General features: G+C 42.3%; 1 protein-coding gene across 53 annotated transcripts in view; it reads right to left on the bottom strand.

The window, feature by feature from the left end:
- WASHC2C (WASH complex subunit 2C) overlaps window positions 1-21791 on the bottom strand; it is a 65922-nt gene that overhangs the window by 26186 nt on the left and 17945 nt on the right. For 25 of the 53 annotated variants that reach the window (NM_001367393.1, NM_001367405.1, NM_001367412.1 and 22 more), the window contains 12 exons: window positions 20132-20179; window positions 16573-16683; window positions 15941-16028; window positions 15226-15297; window positions 14073-14191; window positions 13542-13599; window positions 12234-12293; window positions 11664-11843; window positions 9640-9767; window positions 7378-7464; window positions 3290-3391; window positions 969-1100 (listed from right to left, as the gene is read on the bottom strand). In NM_001367393.1, coding sequence (NP_001354322.1) covers window positions 969-1100; window positions 3290-3391; window positions 7378-7464; window positions 9640-9767; window positions 11664-11843; window positions 12234-12293; window positions 13542-13599; window positions 14073-14191; window positions 15226-15297; window positions 15941-16028; window positions 16573-16683; window positions 20132-20179 — 1185 coding nt within the window. Of the gene's footprint in view, window positions 1-968; window positions 1101-2934; window positions 3131-3289; window positions 3392-7377; window positions 7465-9639; window positions 9768-11663; window positions 11844-12233; window positions 12294-13541; window positions 13600-14072; window positions 14192-15225; window positions 15298-15940; window positions 16029-16572; window positions 16684-17135; window positions 17249-20131; window positions 20180-21791 lie in introns of those variants that run through there. The other 28 variants (NM_001367398.1, NM_001367395.1, NM_001367403.1 and 25 more) reach the window with 6 other exon arrangements.

Here is a 21791-nt window from a genome sequence, read left to right as displayed (position 1 = left end):
TCTGCACAGCTAAATCTGATTCCCTGCTACTAAATCTGATTGAGTTAGCAACTAAACTAACTGATTTGGTAGTATCTATCCAGATCACAAACAGAAATATTGTTAAGACTCCCTCAAAAAGGAGTTTAACCTCAATAGGTAACTCCTCCTAACTATAGTTCTAAATTAATGAAACACAGTAGTCATTTAACAAGATACTAGTATATATGGCCATTGGGGTATACGGGACATGCTACCTCAAAATATGACACCTTGGCATTTGAGAAAACAGAAGCAGAAAGGTCTCTCTGACCTTTCCCTGGCCCTTCTCCTCTGAAGCAGGACATAGAAGAATCCTCTAACCCTCTCTGGAGTAGGTCATAAAACCTTCATTCCAGTCCTCCCTATTCCCAGAGGAAAGGAGCCTCCTTATTTGTAAAGATGCAGAGAATGATCTGACCACACAGGCCTTGCTGAGCTCCCCCCAGCTTATTCCCATCAGGTCACACCCCTTTCATCTAATCGTGCTCCCCCAAAACTGTCCGCTTCTTCATCAGACTGCATAAAATTGACACAGGATTTCCTGTTTCTCTTGAGTTTTTCTTTCTGAAGGCTCCTGTGTCTGGTAAAACTTATCTTACGTAAACTTGCACACTTTTCTCTGGTTAATCTGTCATTTGTTCTAAGGGACTCGACCATGAACTAGCGATGGCTGAGAAATCATTTCCCCCCTAGCCGGCCTAACTCATTTGAAGGAGCATACACTATTGTGTGGGAGTCATACTTATTCCTAACCATTTTGAAGAGATTCATCTTTAAATTAATATATTACATTAAATGTCTTCCTTCAGAAAAGACAATCTTGTGAACATCGCCTTTGGTGACTGAACATCACGAGATATAAAACAGGTAGAAAAAGACTTGGGATGGCTTTAACTCTTAAATCCCATGAAATAATCCCCTCTTTTTTAGCAGAAACCTCAGCTCACCTCCTCATCACTGCTGAACAACAGGGCAGATGCTTTCTTTTTGGAGAGCTCGGAGGCTTTTGCTTTCTCTTCTCTCTGAGCTTGTAGAGACAATGTCTGCTTCTTAGCAGCTGTACCCCCAAAAAGATTATCCTAGAAAAGCAAATGGCAGAAAGGTAAGACAACTTTATAATCAGAAAACATAGGATGTCCTCCTATATCAAACTTTAAGGAAGTAAGTCTCCAGTCAGGTATACAAATAACAACTCTGGCGGGGAAAAACCGCAAAATGCTAGTAAATCCCAAACTACAGCCTTTTCTCACTGCACCCATAGAAGGGAAAGAGATTACCATAGAACTCGAAGGCAGAACAGCTGCATATAAGCAGGAGAACAACATGCAAATGAGATCATGAAGTACAAGGAGAAACTGAGCCCCATCCAGTCACCCTGTGGGCAAGTGCCTCTCTGCTCATTTCAGGTGGTTACAGCCTGCGATGGGCACGGGAGCCCCCGCAGCAGCCAGAAACTCACACTGTTGTCTCCACGAATGAGAAACCAGAACAATGGCTGAAAGGAGAGAACTGGGGGTCTGTCTCCACTCCTTTACAGGTCAGAAAGACATACACCTGGGATGGAGGGAAGGCATGACTTGTGTTTCTCATTAGTTTCAAAGAGATTATACAAAGTGGAGAAATAGCTTACTAAATAAAATTGCTGGTGTACTAAGTTTAATGGCATTTGTAAATTCTTCTGTGGTCAAGCACTCCCCAAAAGTTATATTTATTAAGGTGCTTTTATTCAGATAAGGGGAACAAAAGCATCAGAGGGCCTGAGTCTGAGTTAGGATGGACAAACTCAGGTGAACAGCCCTGGAATGTGAAGATGGATGAAGGGAGTGTCTTCCTGGATGAAGTCTCCTTTAAGGAGAGTGCGGTAATGTAGGACAGGCCAGGAGAATAATGAGCTGGTGTCCATTGGGGATGCTAATGACAGAGCTCACATTCACTATGCACTTATTATGTGCCGGCACTCTGCAAGAGCTTCACACTAGTAGTTACAGCTGCCACAGTGACCCTACTCACTGTTAAGCCACATGAGCTTAAGGAAGGTTAAGTTACTTGCCCCAGGTTCCTGGTTTGCAAGTGGTGGAGCTGGGATATGAACCCAGGGGTCTGATGGCAAAGCCTTTGAGCTCACCACCGCCCAGTACTGCATGAGAGTTAAGGTTTGGGTTGTCTTCTCTCTTATTTCTCTTCCCCACTGTGCTCTCTCCAGCCAGGACGGGAAAGAAAGACAATGGTCAGGACATGGCTGCCTCCTCCTTTGTATCTCCACTTGATCCAAAACATTCTTGTAGGTCATTGGGTATATGTTGATCCATCCTCTAGACTAAAGTACAGCTCACCCTGAATGACACAGGTTTGAGCTGCACAGGTCCACTTCTACACAAATGTTTTCTCAGTAATATGTTGAAAATTTTTTTGGACATTTGCAACAATTTGAAAAATCTTGCAGACAAACCATGTGGCCTAGAAATATCATAAAAAAAATAAGGAAAAGCTGGATATGTCAGGAATACAAAAATATATAAATAGATATTATACTATTTATATGTTAATCACCTGTTTATGTTATCCATGAGGCTTCTGGTTAACAGTAAGCTATCAGTAGATAAGTTTTTGGGAAGTAAGAAGTTATATATGGATTTTTCACTGCAATGTGGAAGTCAAAATAACCTCCACACTGTTAAAGGGTCAATTGTATTTCTCAAAGGCAGATTTCTAAAAATAAAACCTGTAGATTTCACTCCATAAGAACTGTGTCAAGAAGCCAGGCACGGTGGCTCACACCTGTAATCCTAGCACTTAGGGAGGCCGAGGCAGGCGGATCACCTGAGATCAGGAGTTCGAAACTAGCCTGGCCAACATGGTGAAACCCTGTCTCTACTAACAATACAAAAATTAGCCGGGAGTGGTGGTGCGTACCTGTAGTCCCAGCTACTTGGGAGGTCGAGGCAGGAGAATCACCTGAACCCGGTTACAGTGAGCCAAGATCGCATCACTGCACTCCAGCCTGGGTGACAGAGAAAGTCTCCAACTCGGAAAAAAAAAAAAAAAGAACTGCGTCAAGAATCTAATGTCTTCTCCATTGCACAGCTAGGAAAATATAAGGAAGAAGTCACTGAAATAAAAACAGAAATATTTTTGTTATATAAACTTCAGGTAGCCTGACTGCTTCCCTACCACCTTTTGCTAGTATATGAGCCTCTGGGTAGAAAGTTACATCAACAACCGTTTTCTCCTAATCTAAATTATCTAGTGTTACAATAACAATGTTTACCTCTTCATCTTCATCATCAAACAGGGAAACCGACGTGGGGAGCTTGCCAGGCAGCAGAGATGCACCTTTTAAGTTACTCGCACTTTGAGAAGAAAACAAATCCTGTTGGATTGAAATTAAAGTTGCTGGTTAACAGGAATATCAGTTTTTAAAATATCAGGTCAGTATAAAACACAAGTGACTCAGACATGACAGCTGCCATGTGTCTAGGCTTCTTTCCTGAGAGGGAAGGTGGCTCAGACAGAGTCCTTAAAGGGATAGGCCTCAGGGTCTGTGCAGGGTGTGTGCAGTGGCGCTAAGGAGGAGGAGAGCTACAGGATCTGGTGGGCTCGCAGAGCCCAGGGGCTTCTGTATTCCCACCTGAATGACAGAAGGCAGGAATAAGTTTTTGAATCAATTTCCTACACCATGCTAAAAAAATAAATATATAAGCATGGCTTCCCATTACTGTCTAAAGAATCAGAGATTAGACAGGGTCAATAAAGAAACAGGGGCTAGATTCCCAAATTAATGGAGCTACAACTATTTTATTTAGTAACACCCTCCTCTCCTAAGATTATGACTTACTTCTTTTTCTTTTTTTTGAGGCAGAGTCTCGCTCTGTTGCCCAGGCTGCAGTGCAGTGGTGCAATCTCGGCTCACTGAAAGCTCCGCCTCCCGGATTCACACCATTCTCCTGCCTCTGCCTCCTGAGTAGCTGAGACTACAGGCGCCTGCCACCACGCCCGGCTAATTTTTTTGTATTTTTAGTAGAGACGGGGTTTCACCATGTTAGCCAGGATGGTCTCGATCTCCTGACCTTGTGATCCGCCCGCCTCGGCTTCCCCAAGTGCTGGGATTACAGGCTTGAGCCACCACACCCGGCCGACTTATTTCTTTTAAATAAATACAAATTAAACTTTATTTTTAAATGTTTGCTAGTCTACTTAGCTTAACTATAGGTATATGACGTTGCAAACCAGGATAAGACCTGATAGATTCTAAAGAAACTTTCAGCTCGGTGCTGTGGCTCATGTCTATAATCCCAGCATTTTGGGAGGCTGGGGCAGGCAGATCACCTGAGGTCAGGAGTTCAAGACCAGCCTATATTAATTTTGTAAAAATACCAGATTAGCCAGGTGTGGTGGTGGGTGCCTGTTATCTCAGCTACTCAGGAGGCTGTGGCAGGAGAATTGCTTGAACCTGGAAGGCAGAGGTTGCAGTGAGCCAAGATCCCACCATTGCACTCCAGCCTAGGCAAAAAGAGTATAATTTCATCTCAAAATAGCTAAAAAATATAAAAATCAAGAAATTTTCAAAATGTTATAAAACATCAGCTTATCCTGCAAAGAAAGACCTGCAAGTTGACCTACATGAAGTAGAAACATAAAATGGGACATCTATTCCCTTGGGAAGATAAACTTCAATACACAAGAGCCGAACAATTAAATAGGACAAGAAGATATTTCTAAGACCTCTTTGGACAGTTTTTTTTTTTTTTTAATTATGGGGTCGCTGTCTACTCCTAAATATAGACCTAATGAGTTCACTAAGTGAGATCTCCTCCACACAGTGTTTTTCCCCTGTGCTCCCCGGAGTCCCATGGGTTTATTTAGATAGAAGAGGCCACGTGGGGGATTCCAGGCATCCCGTGCCCCTCCTGCATGTTACACAATGGCAAGAGAAAGGGTTCTGCTGTTCTAAGAAAATGAAAGTAAACCAAAGCAAAGAACAAAAACAAATGTCAACATCACAGTTTCGGACCCTTAACTGATACCTTTCTTGGTACTGCAAGAAAAGACACTTCCGTTACCTCAAATATGTTCCCCCAAAATGACTTCACAGGGCAAGCTTCAGCCTCACACTTCAGATATAGAGAAAGGAGTCAGGACGCATTCCTTTGGGTCCAAAGCTTTAACTCTTACTTAGACTGCCTTAGTTTTACTTCTCCTTGCCTCAGAATCTGAACAATATCCAATAAAAACATTCACTCTATGATGACACACATGGGGCAAAGCCTTTGGTAGGGTTTTCACACAAGTCTGAGAGTACATTTACACTCCCACCATCAAGAAGGGGAGCCTATGGCCTCTCCCCATAAACCTGGATGGGCCATTGTGACCATCTTGACCAACAAATGAAGGAAAAGGACCACCGTTGACTTCCAAGGCTGGAACACAGAAGGCGACATGGCCTCCATCGGGCTCTCTCTGAGGACTCTCCCCTACAGCCCTGAGCCAGTATGTAAGAGGACCGGCTTCCCTGACTACATGCTGGGAGCCACACAGGGCTAGTGAGAGATGTCCCAGGGGCCCCAGTGCCCAGGTACCAGACATATGAGTGAGCTGACCCTCAGCCCAGCCACCTTCAGACACAAGAGACCCTCAGTGACAACGGCCTAGCTAAGCCCAGTCAACCTCTCGAACTGTGAGACAACAAAACTATGGGTGTTATGAACCACTAGGTTTTTGAGTTACTTGTTTCATAGCAACAAATAACCAGAACATCTCGTAAGTCACTGAAATTGCTCACATTTGGTTTTCTTGTCTAATCAACAATTACTGGATGGCTTACAACATGCCAAGCACAGGTATTAAGGACGGGGTGTTAGGGATACAAATAGGGAATACAAAGTCCTGCCCTCATGGCACGTACTTTAGTGGGAAGTAGAGACAATGAATAAGCAAATATACACTGTCCCTGGCAACACGTGCTGTGGTAAACAGTGAAATAGGAAAGAGGACCAGGAGCACAGCGTGGTATGTGCTAGCAGGCTTCCTGTTGTGTGTATTTCATCAGCGAGGCCTCACAGAGAAATCGAAGAGTGAGGAAGAAAGCTGGATTCTGGGAACAGCATTCCTCAGAGTGGCAGGGGCCGGTGCAAAGACCCCGAGGTGCAGGTGTGGGTGACACAGGGGATCCATGAGCATAAGACGGTGGAGGCCCCATCATGCTGTTTCTCAGGGGTCAGGGTTGTGACTTGACTGGACTTTGGTTAATTGCCATGTTTTGTACACTCGCCTTCAATGAAATAATAGCCTCAAAGGTATTCTTTACGTCAAGGGCAATCACTATACTTCCAAAGGGTTCCATGTTCATCCTTGCTGTGAGTGCAAAGCCCAACCATGACAGCCTAACCTAGAGCCCACAGTTTCTTGAAATACATGTAAGTTTCTGCCATGTCCACATGTTTTTCTGTAAAAGGGGCTTATTATTTCCCATTACATTTCTCATACAGGTCTCCGATCTCCTAAAAGGCCAACTTAAAATTGGATCTAAGACGACCTAGGCCTGAGAGACTCAGGAAAAGCAGTGAAATTCTGAGAGGTGGTTCTAAGGTGCCTGGAGGGACCAAAGCAACCTATGAACCAGGGTCCCAGAGGCTGTTAGTGGTCTCAGTCTCGACAAGACAGATGGCTATGCCAGAACCCATCTGCTACAGCATTAAGCCACGGTCTAGTTAGTGAGAATGTGAATAAAGGAAGTAGCATGGTGACCTCCACTCTGGTGCAAGCTCCTCATCACATCATGAGCCCATGAACAGTTTAAAATCTGAGCATCCTAAAGAGAGAGGATTTTCATCCCAGGAAATGTAAATACAGTCCAACCCAAAGTGAAAAGTATTGTAAACATATTGCTTTCTAAAGCCCCTGTGCTCTCAAGAGATTATTTTTTATTCATTTATTTATTTTGAGATGAAGTCTCGCTCTGTCGCCTAGACTGGAGTGCAATGGTGTGATCTCGGTTCATTGCAACTTCTGCCTCCCGGGTTCAAGTGAATCTCCTATCTCAGCCTTCTGAGTAACTGGGATTACAGGCTCGCACCACCATACCCGGCTAATTTTTGTCTTTTTAATAGAGACAGGGTTTCATCATGTTGGCCAGCCTGGTCTCCAACTCCTGACCTCAGGTATCCGCCTGCCTTGGCCTACCAAAGTGCTGGGATTACAGGCATGAACCACCACTCCTTGCCTCTAGAGATAATTTTTAAAGAACTGGAGTACTTAACAAAAAGTCTTATAACTCTATTGAGAAAAACCTGATTCAAAAATAGTTTCTATGTCATATCCATAGACTAATACCCACAACTAAGCAAAAGAATTCCATACCTCAGAGTCCTCCTCATCTGAAAATAAGCCTTTTTGAGTCTTTGTTTCTGATGAGGGCTTGAGATTTTTGCTGTAAGATAAGGTAACCTTTGTCGGGGGTGGGGGGGGGGTGGGGAAGAAAAAAAGAAAAAGAAAAATTAAGCATTAACACGTAAGATACCCAGAAAAGAGGGTTTACTCAATCAATCGAGAAAACGCACGGAGTCTCTGCTGTGATAGGCAGCAAGCTGAGGGGGCTGTTAAGAGAACAGCAAGACAAACAGAGGACACATCTGGTGTATCAGGGAGCAGGACACACAGTCTGGGTCAATGGGTGCACAGATGGGACATATGCAATGAGAGACAGCATGGAAAGACAGGCTGCCTGACGGGCCTGACAGGTTCTGAATGCTGGGCCTTAGGTGGTCGGCAGGAGAAAGTCAGGGCTTCACAGCCAGGACATGACACAAAGAGACAAAACTGTAGAAAGAGGAGGGACCAGCTGTACAGGACAGCAGTGAAAGGACAAGCAGTCAGAAGGGCTTAAAGACTGCTGGGGACACACACACTGGCCAAATGCAGGTCAATCTGAGCATCAAAAAGAATGATGGTTTGGCCAACATGGGCAAAACCCGTCTCCACAAAAAATTAGCCGGGCATGGTGGCGCACGCATATAGTCCCAGCTACTTGGTAGGCTGAGGCTGGAGAATCGCTTGAACCCAGGAGGTTGAGGCTGCAGTGAGCTGTGATTGTACCACTACACTCCAGCCTGGGCAACAGAGCAAGACCCTGTCTCACAAAAAAAAAAAAAAAAAGAAGAAGAATGATGGTAATGGATTATCATCTACACTGAAGAATGAATACATGATCCCAAAGCAATACTAAAAATCGGGGAAGGAGGGGGAGAGAAAGAACTTTATTCAGAAGAATGCCAACTAATAAGAAATATAGAATTAAAAAAATAGTGGTTTGTGCCCGCTAACAGATTAACTGAGTCAAGAAAAGATCATCAGTGGATTTTCAAAACACTGAGTAAAAGGCTGGGAGAGAACAGGTATTCACACTGTGTTCAACTATCACTTTAGAGATCAACTGAGCAATGGCAAAAGAGAACAGGGTACCTTTCCAATGAAGCAGTGTGGTGGGCACCCTAACAACCAAGTGACAAACGTGTCTGAATGAGGCAGACAGTGGACCTGATGTGTCTTGGGAGGTGATCCAACTGGAAGTGCACAACCCTGCCTGCTTGTATTCTTGCCAAAACTTCTCACCCTGAATCTATTCATAGGAAAATAATCAAGCAAATTCACGAGACACATTCTACAAGACAAGTGGCTGGATATTAAAAAAAAAAAGATGTGGGAGGTGTTGCTCTAGATTAAGGAGACCAAAGAGACATGACAACCAAATGCAATGCAGACACACTGTCCGAATCCTGAGTTTCTTAGAACAAAAAAAAAATCAAAACATAAAAAAATACTATAAAGCAGGGGTCCCCAACCCTGGGCTGCAGACCAGTCCATGGCCTGTTAGAAGCCGGGCCGCACAGCAGGAGGTGAGGTGAGCAGCAAGCATTACTGCCTAAGCTCCTCCTCCTGTCAGATCAGTGGCAGCATCAGATTCTCATAGGAAGGCAAACGCTATTGTGAACTGTGCATGCGAGGGATCTAGATTGCAGGTTGCACTCTCCTTATATCCCTAATGCCAAAAAGGTTGGGGATCACTGCCGTAAATGGCATTTTGGGGACAAGAGAGGAAATTGCAGTATGAACTATATGCGAGATAATTTTAAATCTGTATTCTATTTGTTGGGGTGATTTTGCAAAGACATTCTGGGGCAACTGGAGCAATTCTAATACAGACTAGATATTAGATTCTACTATAGAATTACTGTTAGTCTCACAGCTGTTGATAATGGCATTGTGCTTATATGGAAGTCTTTTCAAGAGAGGCTTAATGAAATATTTAGGGGTAGAATGTCACAATGACTACATGGAAACAGTTCCATGCAGCAAACAGTTCAAACAACTTACATGCAAATAGTTCAGGAAAAAAATAGATATGTAACAAGGTTTACATCCATAAAGTGTTTGCCAAAACCCTAAGAACTGATCAATCTGGGTGGCAGTTATTTGGGTGTTCACTGCAATGTTCTTTCCACTTTCTGTTTGAAGTTCTTCAATATGAACGTGAAAGGGAACAGTACTTCCCTCTGGGTTCCGGATGAATTATTAAAATGCTGCAGATCAATGCTCCTGCGTTAAGTCTTCCCTCCTGCTCACCTTTTTTTCTGCTCTTGCTTTATTTTCATCTGTCTGACTCACAGTGGCTTCTGGCGATGCTACGGCTTTTTCTTTGAACAGATCTCCTTCTTCGTCACCAAAGATATCGGCAGTGGATTGGACTTTGCCTGTAAAAAATACCAAGGCATAAAATGACACTAACGTCAAACATCCTATCACAAAATTCACAGATTAAAAAATTCTTCCCTCCCAAAGAATAAACATAAAAAGTTATGTTGTTTCTTGATTAGTTATAAAGAAATAGTAAGTGGAACTATACTCTTCCCTTGGAATTTTTCAAAGTGCATAGTAGCAGTTCAGTTGAAAGACAGAACAGATAGTTTATCCACGTGGCTGACATGCTTATCCAAGCAGCCATTTCCTGTGCTTAGAGTAGCTTGGACTGGCTTACAAGGTGAAGAGAGATCTAGAGGAAGAAAGATCATTTAAGAGGGCCACCAAGTCAATCATCTAAGGAATCTGAGAAATGAAGGCTTGGCTCCTGCTTTAAAAAAAATCAAACTGTACAAAAGCAGATAAAAGCAAATAATGAAATCCCCTCATAATTCCACCAGTCTACTCAAACAAGATGAACATTGGGAACAGTTCAGCATACATGCTTCTAATTCCCCCAAAGGATGTACTAATGAATTAACACTAGTTATTTATAAATAAGGCTATAAATAAGAAGATAATTTGAACAATGTCTTACCATTTGTGTTTTCCACTCAATGTACCTACAAAATCTTCCCAAGTCAACAAGCGTAGACCCCTTTCTTTTTAACTGTCACAGAATAGTCCACTGAATAGAAGGGCCATAGCTTACTCTACTGATAAGTATTTGGGTGGTTTCCAACCTTTCATCACCATAAGCACTGCTGTACCGAATAGGGCATGTGTTGCTGAAATGAGGTCACTGACTCATGAATGTCTGAAGAGACTAGGAGTTGTCAAAGAAAGCAGCATCAATTTACTAGGGATTCTAAATCAGTTCTCAAAGATATCCACTAAGTAAGAGCCCTGTGGAGCTACAAAAAGCACTACTACCTTCATTCACTGTCATCTTCACCGAGACCTGTGTGCATTGTCATCTTCACTGAGACCTGTGTGCATTCTGCATCCGTTTGCACTCTTTCTAGATTAACTAGGCTATCGTTTTCCCTCACACTTCGGCTTCCATCCTTACTTTCTACACCTAACACTGGAAGAGAGTGAGTCCAGACAGCCGGCTTCTAAATGCATTCTAGTTCCATCCATTCCTATGCCATCCTTTTTTATTTTTTAAAGTTGCTGAAAATCATGTGCACCTTAGGGATCTAGGGATCTACCTTTCTTTTCTGGAAGAGCAGTCAATGGATCTAAGTCTTGCTATTCGAAGTGTGATCTACAGACCATGAAGCTTGCTGGAAATGTAAATTCTCAGGCCCCACCCTGGACCTACTGAATCGGAATCTTCATTTTGACAAAAGCCCCTGGAAGATTCATCTGCACATTTAAAAACAAATGATTTATGGGAATGACTTCAGGACATAGGACTTACATTTAAGAGGAAAAGAGAGGAGAATGCCAAAGTGGCCAAGGGGATGAAAACATCATCTGAGGAAAGACCAAGGCCACCTGAGCTTTTTGGCAGAGAAATGAGAAGCTGGGAAATAAATGGCCGGCACACAACCTGCTGCTCATGTAATTGACTAAGGTCGGCTGGAAGAAAGGATGATTAAAACTTTACAATACCAAAGGTCAGAACTGGAAATTGCAAGCAAAAATTATACAGAAAAGGATTTCAGCTCTCTATAAGGAAAATAATCATAGTAATTAGCTTACAGAGCAGAAAAGATTGGGTCATAAAACAGACCTCCCAGGCACCACACCTATGTAAGTACAGACACAACAACTCAATGACAGGAATGCTGGAGAAGGGATTCTGGCACTGTAAGAGATACAGAACTAGGTGAGCTTATGTTCTTTTTAGGCAACATTCTTTTTCTGGCTGAAGTCCTAGAAACGGAGGCAGGAACACATACGTGTTTTAGAAGGTTTGCTGTGGGGTGCCGAGAAAAAGTCGTCATCATCATCACCATCATCATCATCAAAGAGGCCAGTGGGAGGGGGACCATAGGGGCTTTTCCTTGGAGTGGGCTGCTCAGGCTTCTGTGGCTCCTTCAGTGATGGAACGGAGGCAGCACCAAACACATCCGTGTCTCCTGTGAGTGAAGGGACAAGACAGCCACAGCTGTGAGCCAGTGTGGGCCGGTTGAATTTACAGAAAAAAATTATCACCCACCAAAAACTTTCCATTTCAGTTAATCCACAAAATGCATAACAGGGCCCAATAGCCTCCATCCATTACTGCTACAGAACATCTCACAACGGAGAATCACCAGGTCGCTCAAACACAAAAAAGTCCAAGGCCACTGAGCTCTAGGAGAATAAGAGCTAATATCAGTAAATGAGCTCTTTCTATAAGATGCTCAAAGCCCTTTGAAGCTCCCAGGTACTTCCTCATCTCCAGCCAGACTTTAGAAGATGATAATTTTGAAATGCAAAAAACAGTATTTGTGTAGTTTTTAGAAAACAAACCTAAGTTATGTTACCTAAAAATACAGAAACAGCTCCTGCTGGGATTTTCTTTCCAGGTTTGGATGATGAAGACTCTAGAATGAGAAAGCAAGGGGTAACCATTTTACAAGGGAAATAACTTTCCTTGCTATTTTCTTCCTGAAATACGTGCAATGTAACACACAGCTAGTACCAGACCTTTTGAAACTACTTTTTCCTGAACAAGCCATTTTAAAATTCCTTAGTATTTTCTTCTCTACCGATGTCAGGACTTTTTTTTTGGGATTAACACAATCTGAGCTGTGACTCAAATGGAAGAGCATGCTGACCGTCATCAAGCCACAGCAGTGGGTCAGCTGGGGGACACCAAGGGAGGAGGTGAGCACAGCAGAGGCAGGGACAGCATGACCGGGGCTCCCCCAAACAGTTCCACCTCTACCCATTCCAGTTGGATGAGAATGAACGGGTGAAAAAGAACCGCAAAAACATGTGAGTCATCAGTAAAAAAATAAAGACATAAGAGCAAAGGGGGAAACCAAGCAAGTCACTGATGCCAAAACATGGACAGCAGAAAGCAGAGGAGAGCCAGGCTAGCAGCCCGCACAGCAGGCACAAGGAGCGGCCTCCAAGGCCCAGCTCTGATGCCTGCGCCCGGGAGACTCGGCACTTAGAATCACTAATTCCCAAGTCCCAAGAACTACCACAAACCTATTGAGTAACATTTGTAGGTTAAAAAAAAAGAAAAAAAAAAAAAACATATTTATATTTGTGTTTTTTAAAAACTGCACCAAGGGGACAGGTGCAGTGGCTCATGCCTGTATTCCTAGCATTTTGCCAGGTCTAGGCGGGTGATCACTTGAGGATAGGAGTTTAAGACCAGCCTGTCCAACCGTCCAACATGGTGAAACCCTGTCTCTACTAAAAATACAAAAACAAAAAACAAAAAAACAAAAAAACCTGCACAGATGATTTTAATGCACACTGGGTTGGGGAATTACTGGTCTCCAACTTATATACAGAATGTTAAAAATGTTTCTTTAAATTAAACTTCATTCAATGAAAACCATCCTCAACATTGCTCTAGGGTACTTTTCTTGTTTGACTTTCTATGAGTTCTCTCCTAACAAAGAGGCAAGACTGTGGTATGGGTTTACAGATGGTACTGTTTTTTCCAAGACATGAATTAGTGAAGATGAATTACTTTCAACTGGACCGCAGTAAAAACAACAGCTTCTTGCTTGACACAGAAACAAGGCTTGGGAACAACCTTGTTCCATCTCCTAGTGAGAAAGACAGTTTTGGAACTCTGCACACGGAGACGCAGCTGCCCAGCCCCAGCTTACCCTCCTTAACAGAGGCTCCAGCTTGCCGATCCTGGGAGGCTTCCGTGAAGAGGTCACTCTGGTTGAAATAAGGTATATGACAAAGAATTCAAAAAACCAGGAGAAAGCATAGCTGCATGTGAGGATTCCTAAGGAAAAATAACCTACAAGATTTAAAGCTACATATTTACTACTCTGCCAGAAAATCAGTTGCAAAGTGATAACTATGGCAAAATCAGACCCTAAAATAATTTAGGCCTGTCCAGGAATTAAAAACAAACGTGGAAGACAACAGATAAGGCAAGAAACAATCACCTAGTAAATTATTCACATTAACACGTGCACATCTTCTCCTCACCTAACAAAGCATAGAAGGATACGGCATTTCTCACTCTGTGATTCTTAGTTCAAAATGTCCCAAAATATGAAAATAGAAGCAACTTCCAACTGAGAAACTGTTTTTCCCCCACTAAACAAGCAAAGCCTATATCTTCCCTGTGGACCCCTGACACAGCTAGCTGCAGGGAGTGTTGCTGGGTGCCATGGACTCACCTCCTCGTCCTCATCATCAAATAGCCCCTTGCCGCCACTGAACAGGCCACCTCCAGAGCCAAATGGCGAGAAGTCCTCGTCGGTCAGCTTGGGGGGTGCGAATAAGTTATCCTCTTCATCTAGCAAACAGAAAGCAATGTTTTGCAGGGAGTATTAAAGATGGGTCCAGAACTCAAATTCCCGGGTTGGCATCTGCTGTGTCTCCAAACTGGCATGGAGTTTATCTGACACTATTTAACAAAGTGTGAGGCAGTCTGATGAATTTCACACTAAACCCCTGGCACAGTCCACTGACACCCTCAAAAGACTCTCTGGGCCTCCACTCTCAAGTCTGTCCACGTCTGTGGCACACAGCATTCATTCTCTAGGCCAGCACCCTGGATCTAGATTTACTCTGAAGCAAGCATTCGGGTCAGACGCCACATTCAAGACCCATTCCCCAACCAATCTGGGGGAAGGAAGGGCAGAATAAACAAAGGGATCTGCAAACTGACACAGGGACAAGTCTAATGTAATCGACATGGCTGTTTGCAGGAAAAGGCCTGGTGTATCCTTTATTGAAAACAAATGCTTGAGATTCCTAAGTTTCTATACTTCTAAGAATTCTAGGAAGACAAGAAATGATTGCTGTAAAATCTAATAAATCAAATCTCTACAGGAATTTTTACTCCACACCCACATATCCTCCCAGCACCCCAAAACATGCCTTCCAAGGCTTCTGTTTGTTTTTGGGATGGAGTCTCGCACCATCACCCGGGCTGGAATGCAGTGGCGCGATCAAGGCTCACTGCCATCTCTGCCTCCCGGGTTCAAGTGATTCTCCTGCCTCAGCCTCCCAAGTAGCTGGGACAACAGGCACCCACCACCATGCCAAGCTAATTTTTTGTATTTTTAGTAGAAATGGGGTTTCACTATGTTGGCCAGGCTGGTCTTAAACTCCTGACCTCATGATCCACCCGCCTCGGCCTCCCAAAGCGCTGGGATTACATGTGTGAGCCACCGCGTCCAGCCCAGAGGCTTTAGAAAAGTAAATGGAGACAGACCCATTTGTCAGAGGGAAAACAGCATGTAAAGCAGTACTTCATGAATTATGTAAGCAACATTCCTTAGTCAACAGGCTCCTAAAATAACAGAATTGAGGGAAAAGGCCCACCGTCTGAAGGAGTTCTCCTTTCCTTCTTCTCTTTGAGTGTCTTCCGAGGTTTTGCTTCTCCTGAGGGTAAGGCTTGAAGAACAGTTCACAGTTTTAATAGTACTAAGTCCTCCCTCAGTATACACATCCTGGTTCTTTCCACGTCTGTCATCCTCATAACTCACAGCTAAGAGCAAGACATCTGCCTTTCATCTCAGCTGCACCAGAGCACTGAACTCCCTGGCCCTGCCCACAGTGGGCACTCAAGAGTCTCTTTGTAAGGCAGAAGGCTTCTGCTTTCGTACCAGGCTCATGTGCATAACAGGATTGTATTTGTTGAAAGAATTATTGTGTTATCTTTCTACCCTGTTATAACTAGAATATGCTATATAGCACATTCTTACGTGTTCAAAATATAGGAGTAAATATTCAGCCAGGAATTCTTAAGCTGTTGCCCATGGTTCTCTGGAGTTTCCATTAATCCCCTGAAATTATATGTAAAGGGTTATCTACATGTGTACATGTACGTTTTTCTTGTGGGTCCACAGTGTTCAGTTATCTAAAGGAGCCCATTAACCAAAAAAGGAATAAGCGCTACAATTTAAATTATATGTAGCAATTACTAATAAATATATGTAGTAATTACTAATAAAAAGAGAAATCCGCCTTTGGTGAAGCCAGCAGAGGGCCCTGCACTACTCCTCCCCTACTCCCCATCAACGTGGCTGGGGCTCACTTGTCGGCTCCTCGTCCACTCGACCCATGGCATCCCCCTTGATGCGGGCAGCCAGCTCATCTGCAAACGATGTAGGTCTGCTTCTTTTCTACAGCAGGAGAAATCAAAAGAATCGCTTTTTTGTAACAAACTAGTACACTTCACTTTGGACACCTAACAACATTATGTATACAAGAGCAAAGAAATTGAACTGAGGAGAAAACAGAGTTTAATTAAATGAATTTAAACATATGTACCCTATACAGCTCACCCAAGGAATAGGACTCATAAAATGTTCCTTCAAAGGGAGATGCCCTTTATTTCCTTATTCTTTTTAATACTTGACTTTAATACTTAAAAATCTAAATACGAAAATAAGAAAAAGGTGAATGGGTGGAGAGACAGGAGCACTATGGTCTTCAAACTCTGGAACTAGACATATTCTGAATGATCTGACTCATAAAATCATAACATCTGGACAAGAAAGTGGTACTTGTGAGGCAATTTGAGATGCTTGCCATTATTTTCCAAAGTGTAAATGAAATGACAAATATGCCAAAATGAGTGATGTACAAAGTAAGTCACAATAAAAAGAAAAACAAGTCATTGGTTCTAAAACTCTGCCAAGTGATAGCAACTACAGCCTTCCTTACAGGTCTAGTATTTTCTTCAATGTCCTCAATATCTTCCTCCTCCTTCTCAGAGTCAGCAAAAAGGTCACAGCCATCATCATCCTCTTCCTCATCACTCATTTGTGTGGTGTGCTAAGAGTATAAAATACCAAATTAGAACTACTAGTTATTAAGCTAAAGAAGAGATACTGTCAGCCTTTAGGCTCCTCCTTCAAAGAAGTAACAGCTTTTTAAAATAATAATCATAAACATGATGCAGCAAGTTATGAAGCAAAAGATGTGCTGGAAGAAATAATACACAAGATTTACTTTGAATCTAAGAAAAAAAATATATAAAAATATATATAAAATATAAATATATATATATATAAATATATATATATATATATATTTTTTTTTTTTGAGATGGAGTCTTGCTCTGTGGCCCAGGCTGGAGTGCATCAGCACGATCTCGGCTCACTGAAACCTCTGCCTGCCCAGTTCATGCTATTCTCCTGCCTCGGCCTTCCGAGTAGCTGGGATTACACGCATGCACCACTACGCCCAGCAAATTTTTTGTATTTTTAGTAGAGATGGGGTTTCACCATGTTGTCTAGGCTGGTCTTGAACTCCTGACTTCAGGTGATCCACCCGCCTCAGCCTCCCAAACTGCTAGGATTACAGGCGTGAGCCACCAAGCCCGGCCTAAAAATGTATCCTTTATAAGAATGTAACAACAAGAATATAAAAAGCAGAATATTAAAATATCAAAAATGGCTGTTACTAGAGAAATATTTTTATTTATTTATTTTTGAGAAGGAGTTTCGCTCTTTTTGCCCAGGCTGAAGTGCAATGGGGTGATCTCGGCTCACTGCAACCTCCGCCTCCTAGGTTCAAGCCATTCTCCTGCCTCAGCCCTCTGAGTAGCTAGGATTACAGGCACCCGCCACCACGCCCGGCTAATTTTTATATTTTTGGTAGAGACGGGGTTTCACCATGTTGGGCAGGCTGGTCTCGAACTCCTGACCTCAGGTGATCCAACCACCTCAGCTTCCCAAAGCGCTGGGATTACATTCTCAAAGCACTGGGATTACAGGCGTGAGCCACCATGCCCAGCCTTTTACTAGAGAAATATAAACATCATCAGCATAGTCTTACCTTAGTAAGAATACTGAGTAATAGTTAAAAGGTAAAAGCTGTAATGACTAGAGAGCCATCCAAGGTAGGTCAAGCAAAAAAGCGCAGAATAACAAATCCAGGATGATACCAAGCCCCGCCCCCTCTGCAAACACTACAGCATTTCTATGGAAACAGATGTGTTTATAAAAGCAAAGAAACAGACTTGGAATGACATGCTCCCAGAGCATGATCCCAGTTACCTCTGAAGAGTATGCAGAGAAGGAAAGGACTGGAAGGCTCAAACTTAGCCTTATCTGTTAAGTTCTAATTTTTCCAAAGGTACACACTACTATGTATAATTAAAAAAATTTTTTTTCAATGTTTGAATCAATGAACTGTGCCAGGCATGTTACTAAAAGCACTTTATTATCTAATTTAATCCTTACAACTTTGAGGTTAGCTGCAGCACACAAAACCAACCTGTTGCATAAGCTAGTGCTTTTACTCACTATACTGTACTGTTTTTGAAAAACTGTTTGTGGCCGGGCGTGGTGGCTCACGCCTGTAATCCCAACACTTTGGGAAGCTGAGGCAGGCGGATCACCTGAGGTCAGGAGTTCAAGACCAGCCGCGCCAACATGGCGATACCCCATCTCCACTAAAAATACAAAAACTAGCTGGGCATGGTGGCACATGCCTATAATCCCAGCTACTTGGGAGGCTGAGGCATGAGAATCACTTGAACCGAGGAGGTGGAGGTTGGAGTGAACCAATATCGTGCCACTGCACTCCAGCCTGGGTAACAGAGAGAGACTCTGTCTCAAAAAAAAAAAAAAAAAAAAAAAAGGAAAGAAAAACTGTTTGCATTTACAGATCTTAATAGGAAATTCCATAGAAACAAATATCCTATGAAGAAAGACTGATCGTTAAAATTATAGAGATCAACCACATTTATGAATACAACCAGGAAAATACAGTAACAACCAGAAAGTATAAAATCCTTCATTTGATAGTTAAACATTTTTGTGAAAAAAATATTTCCCAGTTAAGAAATTTAAATGCAAATTTTTAACTAAAAGAAATTTAAAATAATCACCCCAGTGATGAGATTGTAGGAAAATCTACATGCATAATACTTAATTTAGAATGTCCACCAGACATTAAGAGTTATTAACATAACTCTATACCACCTCATTCTGAAGAAACAGTTCACCGAAGCAAAGGATTTCTATATATGAAAATATTGGCTGGGCGTGGTGGCTCATACCTGTAATCCCAGTACTCTGGGAGGGCAAAGTGGGTGGTTTGCCTGAGCTCAAGACCAGCCTGGGAAACATGGGAAGACCCTGACTCCACTAAAAATACAAAAAATTAGCCGGGCATGGTGCCACACACCCATAGTCCCAGCTACTCAGGGAGGCTGAGGCATGAGAATCGCTTGAACCCTGTAGGCGGAGATTACATTGAGCTGAGATCACACCACTGCACTCCAGCCTAGGCAACAGAGCGAGACTCTGTCTCAAAAAAAAGAAAAGAAAATATTGAATACATTATTACATCAAAAATACAACTCTAGAAATAAACTCTTTCCCTTATACATTTAGAGACTATGACAGTATCATACTCAGTATGTTTAAAAGTATAGAAGTTTACAACGCAAACTGCAAAGGCTATTTAAAATAAGGAGGCCAGGCATGGTGGCTCACGCCTGTAATCCCAGCATTTTGGGAGGCCAAGGTGGGTGGATTACCTGAGGTCAGGAGCTCGAGACCAGCCTGGCCAACATGGTGAAACCCCATCTCTACTAAAAATACAAAAAAAATTGGCTGAGCATGGTGGTGGGCACCTGTAATGCCAGCTACTCGGGAGGCTGAGGCAGAAGAATTATTTGAACCCAGGAGGCGGAGGTTGCAGTGAGCTGAGATCACGCCACGGCACTCCAGCCTGGACAACAAGAGCAAAACTCCATCTCAAAAAAATAATAATAATAAATAAGGACACATTTATAAAATGTTAACATAAAATGGCAGAAAATGAACGATGCACACTATGAAAAGAATACGCCTTTAGATATTCAAAAATTAAGATAACCGTGCTAAGACAGTAGGGTAAGAAGTTTTCATCTTGTGAATACTCAATAATGTTACTGCTAGATTGTCTCCAATTTTAAAACAGAAGAGGGACTCATGCAAAGTAGTTCAGTTTGGGTAACTGAGTCTTCTTTTAGAGGCTCTGTTTTCCAATTGTGCTTTTCACTTCTTTGAAACTTCTTTTCTAAGAAAAATAAACTATAAAGCAAAATTGGAAAAAATATATACAAAGGAGGTAGTTAGCCTAAATACATGAAATGCTTAAAGGAAAATAAATTGTATACATGAAAAAATCCTCACTTGGTCATAAATCATTCCAAAGTAATTTTAGTATATATACTATGCTTCAATTAAAATGTAAAAACAAAGTCATTTCAATATATGAGCCTTACCTGGTTTTGTTCATTGTCACTGTGATGGGCAAAATCTTCATCTGACTCCTTTATGGGTAAGAAAAGGCTTTGTTGTTAAATGGGCTTTACTTAGAAGCACAGAAATGATTGCAGGTCTAAGTCTCTGGGGCAGGCTGATTCTATGTCAAGTGGAGAAAAAGCTCTGACACTCAGTCTCTTTGTACTGACTACTGGTCACCTTAAGTATCAAGGTGCAGATAAGCTGGGTAGCTGGCAATATTGTGAAGGGTTGTTCCAGTTAACATGTAATTTTTGTGGTTCACTTAAATGCCTCTAACAATTTGTTCACATCACCTGCACTTTCAACTCTTGCCTTTGGATTTAAAGAGTTGCACATTTAACTAACTAAATTACTGAAAGTCAGTTTGTGTTATTTTACATTTTGGACTATACTGTCTCTATTTCCTTGCATTATTCACAATAGCAAAGACTTGGAACCAACCCAAATGTCCAACAATAATAGACTGGATTAAGAAAATGTGGCACATATACACCATGGAATACTATGCAGCCATAAAAAATGATGAGTTCATGTCCTTTGTAGGGACATGGATGAAACTGGAAACCATCATTCTCAGTAAACTATCGCAAGAACAAAAAACCAAACACCGCATATTCTCACTCATAGGTGGGAATTGAACAATGAGATCACATGGACACAGGAAGGGGAATATCACACTCTGGGGACTGTGGTGGGGTGGGGGGAGGGGGGAGGGATAGCATTGGGAGATATACCTAATGCTAGATGACGAGTTAATGGGTGCAGCGCACCAGCATGGCACATGTATACATATGTAACTAACCTGCACAATGTGCACATGTACCCTAAAACTTAAAGTATAATAAAAATAAAAAATAAAAATAACTACTTCATTAGGCCCAAGAAGGGGACATCAATAGTTGCTACGAGCAACTATTGATGAAGTGCCACATAGAAGTGCCACATCGGTGGCTAAAAGCAAGGGATTCCCCTAATGAGCACTGCTTTTGTTATACGAAAGTTACTTAAGAAAAGCTCATTTCCTGCTGTCAGGTTTTTCTTTGGAGGACTGGAAGAAAGGCGGGCAGGGAGAGTGCAGAAAGGGGGACCAACCAGAAGAGAAAAGCACATACACAACACTGTCTCCTTTCGGAAATCCCATACTCGAGGACTCTCCTGCAACATGGCTGTGTCCTTTCCAATAACGAATATCCCATCTAAAGAACAACTACAGATTCAACTGTAGTCAAGGCCCACAGACTCAAACTCTAGACAAGGAAATGAAATTATGCTCTGTGGATATGAAAGCGCTAGCGGCAGCAGCAAAATAGAATGTAAGTGGTGGCTTTCGGTATATCCTGCTCTAGGTTTTATAGTTTACAAAAGTTCTAAATGTAGATTTTTTCCCTTAGAATTATTCAAAGACGGAATATACTCAAAGACTATATCCCAGGCAGAGATTCCACCAAAACATCTAAGCTGCCCTTCTCAAAAATATATTGGGTGAAAGAGATATTTGGTGGCAAGGTGGGAGAGAGGATAATAGTGGAAGAGATGAAAGCAGCTTTCCCTATTATTGTACATAAGGCAAAAAGGAAATCTAACCCTTGGGAAAAAAAACTCAGAATGTGGCTTCTATCACTGTTAAAAGCTTTATGG

This window comes from Homo sapiens, chromosome 10 (assembly GCF_000001405.40).
Source record: "Homo sapiens chromosome 10, GRCh38.p14 Primary Assembly".
NCBI lineage: Eukaryota > Metazoa > Chordata > Mammalia > Primates > Hominidae > Homo > Homo sapiens.
This window is presented reverse-complemented; position numbering and strand designations above follow the sequence as displayed.